The sequence below is a fragment of the Homo sapiens genome, chromosome 10, assembly GCF_000001405.40.
Source record: "Homo sapiens chromosome 10, GRCh38.p14 Primary Assembly".
In the NCBI taxonomy this organism is placed as follows: Eukaryota; Metazoa; Chordata; class Mammalia; order Primates; family Hominidae; genus Homo; species Homo sapiens.
Window position 1 is genome coordinate 55,740,816 of NC_000010.11, and position 9,917 is coordinate 55,750,732.

At 34.3% G+C, this 9,917-nt stretch overlaps 1 pseudogene, besides 1 other annotated feature; it reads left to right on the forward strand.

The window, feature by feature from the left end:
* On the forward strand, positions 5,493-6,995 carry LOC100419872 (zinc finger MYM-type containing 4 pseudogene; annotated as a pseudogene).
* Positions 6,817-6,982: a silencer, noted in NCBI's record as "fragment chr10:57507392-57507557 (GRCh37/hg19 assembly coordinates)". NCBI's record gives its function as "represses an EF-1alpha promoter that drives an FKBP-Casp9 reporter gene in an ReSE screen in HepG2 liver carcinoma cells and phorbol 12-myristate 13-acetate-treated (for megakaryocytic differentiation) K562 erythroleukemia cells {active_cell/tissue: HepG2 | K562(+PMA)}" and the evidence as "EXISTENCE:reporter gene assay evidence [ECO:0000049][PMID:32094911]".

Here is a 9,917-nt window from a genome sequence, read left to right on the forward strand (position 1 = left end):
GAAACTAACAAAGGAGATTGAGATGGTGTTGCAAATAAAACCGAAGAAAAATCAAAAGCCATGTGATACCCAGCTCTAGGAAGCACAAATGGCAATTTTGTGCAAATCAAAAATGTGTCCTTTCCTCATGGCACAGTACTGCCATCTACTGGAATATGTTTCCAAAAACTGTATTAAGATTATAATGCCCCCAAGGTAAATGTCCTTCAGTGCTTAGCTGTAAGCAGTAGAGAAAGTGTATCAAGGGGGAGGAAGTATATCAAATGTTTCTGATCTGTTTAAGGCTTATGAGTATTGAAAAACGATTAATGGATTTAGCAACATTAAGTATGTGTTGACCTTGACAAATGCCGGTTTGAAGTCATGAAAATGAAAGTTTAGTTACTGTTGAGTTAAAAAAAAACTGTACACATTATTATTTTCATTTTCTTTTAAACCCACAGTAACTGAACTTCCATTTTCATGACTTCAAAATGACATTTGTTACGGACACCAAATCTGTACAAGAAATCCCCATGACACAAGTTTACCTATATAACAAACTGCACGTGTCCCTGAACTTAAAATAAAAGTTAAAAAAAAGAAATAACCATAGATAGTGACAATGGACCATTCTATCAAGAAATTTTGTTGGAAGAAGAGGCAGAGAAATAGGTTAGTCTGTAGTTGACATGGAAGTTGCTTCAAGGGAGTAGGGTGGAAAAATTGGTCATGAAGGAGAAATAAGGAAAAATTAAGACCACAACACTCCGTAGTAGACGAGAGAGAATAAGATCTAAGGCACTAATGAAGGAATTGTCTGTAGAGACAGGGAAATATATAGTTCGTGCATAGGAGGTGGTGAAAAACAGAGGCTCTAGAAGGAGGGTACATATGGTAATTAGAGTCTGTAGACACTTTCTTCTTTTCACAGTATAGTAAGAAGCAAGGTCAGCAAAAGCAAGTGAGGATGAAAAAGGAGATTTGAGAGCTCTCTGGCTAGCATCTTCTCACTTTTATTATTGCTATGGGAACTAGGAGAATCTCAAAAGTATTTACATACTTCTTGGAGACACATTTTTCCTGATGAATATTTAATAGCACCAGCCTAAACAAATATTATTTAGTAGAACATGCTTGTTTTTAGTCATCTTCTTTCCTCACAGTGTTATCTGTTCTACTCATGTATTGATGAGTGTCCATTTCATCTGAATATTACCCAACAAGTTTGCATCCTTCTCTGACCTTGGACATTGGCATGTGTTCCTAACCTTGTTTCCTTCTCCATCAATGATACACATTATTATTTAATTTCCAAACTCTGTCAAATAAATGTGTGACAATATATTCATGTGATAAAAATAATCACTGATAATTTGCAATACATTTGTAGAAGTGTGACTTATACCTTATTTGTGTGCTGACATCTAGTGCAGATCTCAGAGTCAGGCCAACTCTCCATTGTCCTCACAATCCTACTTGTCTTAGTCTGTTTTCTGACAGACTATTTTGGATTGGGTAACGTATATTGAAAATACATTTATTTCTAACAGTTATGGGGGCTGAGCATTCCAAGGTTAAGCGCTGCATCTTGTGAGTGCCTTCTTGCTGATGAGAACTCTGTACAGACTTCTGAGCCAGCACAGGGCATCACGTGGTGAGAATGGCGCATATGATAACATGCTGTGCTCAAGTCTATCTCCCTCTTCTGGTAAAAACACCAGTTTCATTCCCATGATAACCAATTAATTAATTATTTAAATACACGAAACTATGAATGGGCTAATCCTTTCATGAGGGCGGAGCCCTCTTAAAGGCCTCATGTCTCAATACTGCCACATTAGGGATTAAGTTTCAAAGTGAGTTTTGGAGGGGAGCAACCATAGCACTTCACTTCCCCATTTTCTGACCAAGGCCTTCAGACTACAGAGTAGCTATTTAATTCTATGTTTTTGACATTGTCCCATGCCTGCCTCACTTTTAGTCCAAGAGGTATAGTTTTCATGGTTTCAAACAATGCTAACAGTCCCAACTGTCTTTTCTTTATAAGATCAATATGGAAAATTTGATGAAATAAATGAAAAAAACTGTATATATACTAAACTTCTATGAGCTAGTTAATACAGAATTTCTTGTGTCCATTGTTGATGGGGATGACTTAAATTTCAGTTGAGTTCCTACCTAATTTCAACTTTTATTCTTGAATGGGGATTTCCCCATTTTGATTACTGTTATATTCAAGAAACCAATCACAAGAAATATTTAAGGATAATAATGGCTATTTTCTTGCCCAAAGTGGATATTTTGCATCTCCAAGTTTCCAAATTATTGCTCTTACCAACTTGTTGCCTGTAATCATATTATTCATATTGATAGTGAGAATCTTTATCTCATTCCCTGCCTTTAAAGATAACTTTTATTATAAATTTTATTACTGTTTACAGGATAGGATGTTACTTTAATTCTTAGTTTTCAATGAGCTTTTATTAAAACGAAGTATTGAACTTTTGCTTATCTATTACATTAGCCATATATTTTTCTACTTTAGTTAACTACTTTGGTGCATTGAAAAAATAGATTTTATAATGCATAGCCATCTTCACAGTCCTGAAATAAACTGATAATTATGTCATAATTTTATTAATATACCCTGGGTTTGGGCTAACCACTGATTCATTTAGTAGCATTAACATTTTCCTCTGCCTCACTTTTAGTTCAAGATAAAATTGGCCTATGGTATTATGTTTCTACTTTCTTTGTTCAATAATGTTACAAATGTTACCCTAACCTCATAAAACATATAACAGAAATTTTAGTATCATCAACTGGTGAGAGAATTTTTGTTTTCTATTTCCTCTTACACATTCTTTCCAAGATATCTGGTTTCTCTGCAAGGCTAGTTTAGAATGTTACACTTCTTACACAATTCTAGCTCTATATAGGCCATAATTACATAAATAACAGAGGATGAAAATCACTTCAAAGGATGAAACATAGAAATTGATGTAGTGAAGCTTTAGGCTGTCCAGGATAATATTTTCTAATTAAAATGTTGCAAATCTGGCCAACTGAATTATGTTCACTTTGAACACTTATAATAAGGGCTTACTTTTGGTTTGAGTAAATACAAATAAATCGCTTAAGAAAATATGGCATTATTCCCCCTCAGGGTGCATTCAAACTGGAATAAAAAATTATTACAAGAAGAAGATGAAGTCACCAAAAGAGCTGAGAATTGTTAAAATAAAGAATGTCAGGTAGAATACTCATAAGGCTGAACTGGTAACATAATTAGGTACTTGCTAAAAACTTATCAAGGTACAACCTGGGCAATAACACCTTCTAGAATGGCAACCAGACTATACAGAGTGTTAAAAAGAAGAATCTTGGTAAAAATGATACTAGCAATTAAAAATGAGAAAACTAAGGATAAACATGAAGGGTTCTGGAAACAATTCAGGAAGAGATATTTGAAAGGCATGTGCTATGATAAAGTTTAAGTGACATAAAATTAATAGCAATATCAGGAAGCAAAAAAAATAGCAGAAATGGAAAGATACAGAGCGAAAGGGGACACTCACTTGAATCACAAGATTATATGTTTGAGTTCAGTACACTGAAATATTTCATTTTTCAATATGAAAGACATGTAATATAGTGACCTCTAGGCACTCATTTCAATATGCAAGAGCCATTAAAAAGGCACTTCAAGGTGTTAGCAGGATCTACTCCACTATAACCATAGATTGCAGGTTTGCCTTCACTCTGAAAAGAGTTTCCTTTGCAGTTTTATGTGAGAAAAATACAATATCAAAATGAGTATATTACGATACAGAATCTCCCTATTAACCAAATGCAATGACCCAAATATGACCCCACAAGAAGTGAATCTGGTGCATATAACTAATGAGGAGGGTGAAATTGTTCATTCTGTAAAACTGATGGTCAGTCACTGAAGAGAAGAATTTGGGACTGCACTTCAGGAAAAAGAACCAAAACAGTAACACAATTCTGCTTCTACATAATTGTGCGGACCCTCATGAATCACTTGTGGAGAAAACAAAACAAAACCTCTTCTCAGAATTCTGTCCACTAATTTCTAAGGGAAAAAAAAAATGTGGTAGATAGAAAACATGATACTGCTAGAGCACAGACATGCAGATAACAAATGACAAATCTTTCTCTAAATTAAGATTTTTAAACACTCATTTTGCTATTTGAATACAGGAAGATGACTCCTGTTTTCTCATTTGATATATTTAATGGAGAGTTCACAGATAACAATTATTTCCTTGGCTTAAGGTCAATGTATTAAGGTCATGGTAGAACTGGAAAATAAAGAGAAAAATGCTGAAAGTTTTCATCTTTAGTGTATTTATTATCTATTTAAAAAAGTATTTTAAAGACACTGTTTTTACACCGTTATAATGAATTCAAACTACGTCTCATGATCTTTTGGAAAACTGAAATAATCTCAAATTATTTCCTGAGTACAAAATGTCAATGTAATGGGAGTTTAAAATGTGATGACCCAATTATTTCAATTAAATTATACAATATTTATTAGACTATAAGTTGCAAACTGCTATCACATAACTTTATGAATTGCAGAAGATAGAAGAGGACGAAATAATACATAGGAGCATAAAATTATCTCATCATTCTCTCTTTGATAGAAACAGACAGTATATGCTCATTATAATATTCGATGACTTAGCTGCCATAATTGGTTCTATCTTTTCATAATACTGTTTATCCTATTATAAACCTAAATTCCATTTGATCAATTGTTGGTCTCAGAGTGAAGGAATCAGTCTTGCATGTATTAATCGAAGCTTATGGTATGAAGTACAGCCCAAGATAAATTTTACAAGAAATATGACTATAAGTAAAATAGATTCTGACACTTCTATACAACACATTAACACATCTTTGTCATAAGCATGATTCTAGACAATACTACTTTAGAACTTTAGTTCTCTGTGTTTGAAGGTTGGGAGATTTTTTTTTAATTTTTTACAAGAAAATCTAGTCATATCAAAAATCTGCCATAAGAGAAAGATTTTAAGTTTTAAAGAAGTCAGAACTATAGTTAATAATACTGTATCATTTACTTGAAATTTGCTAAGAGGGTAGCCTTAAGTGTAACACTATGTTATACTTATGTACAAGTGAGTCTTAAAACTCATGATTTTACTTGTAGTAACTTTGATTTGCTCTCTTTACAACCAAGCTTCTTGAAAGTAATTTTGACTCCCAGTTTTCAATTCCTCATTTAATATTATTTTAAGTCATAACACATTGCTTCATTTAAAACTCTCCTATTCATAGTCCTAATTGTTCTTGTCTCTACCAGGCACTTGACATTTATCCAACCATTCAGTTATTAAACAAATATTTATTCAGTGCTTACCTTCTGCCTATTGCTGGGATCTGTCCTGGAAATCCAACAGTGGATGCTTCTATTTTTCTGTCTACCTCCATAAATAGCTCTGCTTCCGTTGGTCTCCAGCAATGCTGTCCAATCTCAACCAGTTAGTTATACAAAATTATTGTAAAACTCATGTGCCAGCATTATAATCTTTTCACCACAAAAGCAGAGCTTATTGACAATAAGAGTAAAATGTTTCAGTTCAGAGGCAAGAATTATACAAGTGAACATTTTGAAGTAATGACAATGTGTGACTATAACAAAATGTAGAGACTTGTAAAGGAAACTACATGATGCCTAGTTGCTGAAACACCATTCATAGTGGAGAAATCAAAGTCACGCCATGTGTGTTTTACAAATCATTAACACACTCAGAATAAATGCTTGAAAATATGAATAGCTTAGAGAGGAAAGAGCTTTTCTGTCCTACTACTTACCTATCTGATAACTAGTGAGAAAATGGCTACTTCAACCTGTATACACATTCAGTGTAACATTTCTAAAACCTATACTTTCTCTAATATTACCAAGCCATGTCAGATGAAAATACATGTAATTTTTGTAGCTATTGTTTTGTGCTAACTTTACTGAATTTGTTCAATCAACCAACAGTATTACATTATTTATTAATGCCCTTGTCTCAGAGCCAATTAATCATAAACATTCCCACAGTTTGAACTGTCTAACAATGGAATGGATTCTCATGTGTTTTCTGCACACTTGCTCCCCAGTGACATTCCATGAGAAGATCCAGAAGAGACTCCCTTCACTAAGGCATTAAGAAACATATGGGTGAGGGGAGATTTTCCATCACTGAAAGTACTCTGTTTGCTCACTTCTGTGGGCCAGATATGAACCATAAAGGAGGCCACAATTGAGAAGTGCTCACAGATTTCAGTAGGAATGATGTGATTCCAGAAAATCAGATACAACATTATAGACCTTAACCACCAAACAAAATGTGGGTATATCTACAATCAAGGCTGGTAGAGTTGTACAGGTCATCAGAGTGCTTTGGGCCAAGAAAACTCTGGCAGTGGCTAAATGATTTTGACATCCTTAGAACAAAATACAGACCCTTTTAGAATATTGCTTAATTCATATAACAAGAAATTCTTCAGGTCTGGAGCCAAAAGCTTGACTCCAGTCACCACTGTGGAGATATAGCCTTTCACCCAGTTTCTATGTTAATTTTCTTACTCAGAGCCCTTTGATTGAATAGGGTGCCTGGAGGACTCTGCACTATTGACGCACCACTCACAGTAAATCTTTCCCCATGCCTTCCCCGAAGAGACTTATGGCCTTTTTTATAGCATATCCACTCTGTGAAGCAATTCACCGTGAATAGCTTTTCCTGGCACCTGAGGAGTTCACCTAGACATATACTCATCTTCATGGATTTCAGAGTCTGGCACTACTGGTCACATCCTTCTTTCCAGAATGCTTTCCCATTTGTTATTGTTGCTGTTGTTTGTTGTTTTGAGACAGGGCCTCATTCTGTCCCCCAGGCTGGAGGGCAGTGGCACTGTCTCCACTCACTGCAACCTCCGCCTCCCAGGCTCAAATGATTCTCCCACCTCAGCCTCCTGAGTAGCTGGGACCACAGGCTTGTGCCACTGTGCCCAGCTAATTTTTACGTTTTTGTAAAGATAAGATTTTGCCATGTTGCCCAGGCTGGACTTAATTAGAGGGCTCAAGTGGTCTGCCTGCCTCAGCCTCCCAAAGGGCTGGGATTACAGACATGAGCCACCGTGCCCTATCTGTTTTTCCATCTGGATTCATGGAATAGCCTCTCCTGATTCTACTTCTATATTTTTAGCTACTTTGTATTATTGGAGCAAAATATAGGCACAGAAATGGTCCTAAATTATAAGAGTGTAGGTCAATGAGTTTCCCAAATAGAACAACCTCATATAATCACCACATTGATCAACAAACAGGGCAGCCCCACACCTCAGATATCATCGTTTTGACCTCTTCCAGTTAGTGACCATCTAGGTTTGTCGTTACCTTGACTTCTAACACTATGAATTAGTTTTGTCTGATTTTTGAGCTTAATATAAATGTATCATACAGTATGCGTTCTTGTATGTATGGCTTCTTTTGCTCAGCATGATAATGTTTGGAAGATTGCTTCAATGTTATATATCATTATAGTACATTAATTTTCATACCTCTTTTGTATGAGTAAACACAAATTATTTATCCATTCTACTTTTGATGAATATTTGAGTTGTTTCCCAAATATTACTCTATCATAATGAAAACTGTTATGAACATTATTGTACAAGTCTTTGCAGAACATATACATTTCGGTTGCTTGATTCGCTCATTAAACATTATTTTTACCAGTGTTCTGAAATTGGTCCTCTTTGGTTATCACACATCACTTTTGTTACTACTTATTTCTTTAAAACTTCTACAAATACATCTGTCTACTGAGAACTTCTGAACTTTTAACAGGTACTTCCAATACCTAATATTTAATTTTTTTTCTTCTTTAATTTTCCTTTCTATATTACCTTCTTAGATTAATGTATGCATGACACATGGTAGAGTTACTTAAAATATCGCCTTTTTCTTCTCATTTGGTAATGAAATGTGTCAATTCTACTGAATTAACAACCCTTATACTTAACCATCTTCTGCCGCTGTCTTAGTTTCTGCCTTTATCTTATTTGAAAGTGTTTGTAAAACTAATTTTATGACAGCAATGCTGATGTCTAGTGATTTAGAGTAGTTGGGCTGTTAAAAATCAGTTAGCACGTTCCAAGATGAAAATTATTATCACAAACTCGTTGAGCAATCCTTATTGTAGCAGTGCAAGAGTGAATGAAGTGAATATCAACTGAGAAACTGGAAAATAATAAGCAACAAAATGCTTGAAAAGAAAAAAAAAAGAAAACAGTTTTTGTGAATGTTTGGTGGGTAAGTCCCCTGATGAATGAATGCCTTGGTATTTGTGACTCCACGTAAATCAAACGGACGTAAAAAGAGATCTCAATTTTGGCACCAACAAATTGATCCCACTGGATGGTGGCTGATAAAATGCATCTTTTTCTGAAGTTCAAAAAGACCTTGGCGGATCAAGGCAGCAATTTAGAAGATAATAAAGTCTGGAGAGAATTGACCAAGTTTCTTGGAGTTTATATAAAAGGAAGACTGAGAGTGAAATGTCAAAATATTGAGGAGTACAACATCATGATCATTATAAAAATTACATTATTGAAGGTTGCATATATGGATATATGCAAAGGATATGAAAGGGATAAAGCCTTTTCATAAAAATATAATAAAAAATCAACATTCATTTTCACTGGTAATTTATTCTAAGCCTTATTTCCAATGACGCTGTGTGTGTGAGTGTGTGTGTGTGTGTGTGTGTGTGTGTGTGTTTCTAGGATTAAATATATATGTGCCTTTCTTCTGGGATTAAATCTTTTCACTCATCTTCTCATTGCTTATTTGATTGTGTCTAAACATCTTATGAAGAGATTTGGCTTTTGCTTTATTTCTAAATGCTTCTCATTAGCACCTAGATTCCTGCTGTATCAAACTTTAAATGTTTGAAATACTACATATAATTTTAGTTCTCTTGGCCTTGGCTCATATGGTTTAATTTTCCTGGAAGAGTTTTACCTTACTTGACCATTTGGAAAACTCCTATTCTTTTCTAAGGTCCTGTTCCTGTATCTCGGTATTTTTGAAAGCTTCTCTTGACCTTCATAAGCAAACCTGTATTGTTACTTCTTGTTGTGTCGTTTTTTTCATAATATACAGACTTGGCTCTTCACCTTTAGCATTTAAAAAAATTGCCATTATTTTTTTAAATGAACTTTTCTAGCCCCAATGCCAAATTTGCTCACAATAATTTTTAGAATAAATTCAAAAATACACTAAGAAGATTCTTATACAAATAGTTTGAGTATCTTACTCTGAGAACACTGTTCCATAGCTATTATCACTTTTCGCATTAATATTTTCTAAGTCTTTGTTTTCCTTAAGGGAAGGGAATGGATAACATTTATTGTCCTAGCACCTGTTACAGGGATGGACAAGTAGTATTAATTTAATAATTGAGAATCATTTATTATACACTTACATGGAACTTAATGTAGGTCTGTACAATTGTAAGCTTTTTATAAGTATTAGACTGATTTAAGTCTCATTATAAACCTATGAAGGTGCTACTCTTATTAATTCCTTGTTTTTAGGTGAGTAAACTCAACAGACAAATTACTAACTTGCCTAATTTCAGGCAGTTAGAAAGGCAGCTCTAACTAAAATGTAAGAAACATGATTTCACATTAAAGGAATTTATCCACTTCATAACACTTCTGGAATGTTGATTTTTAGAATATTTATTGTAGTATAACACTGACATATGTACCAACATCAAATGTACAGCCTGAAAAATTATCCAAAAGTGAGCACAGCATTATAAAGATGACTCATGTGAAGTAATAAAATCTGAGCCGAATTCTAGGAAATTCCTTCTTTCCCTTAC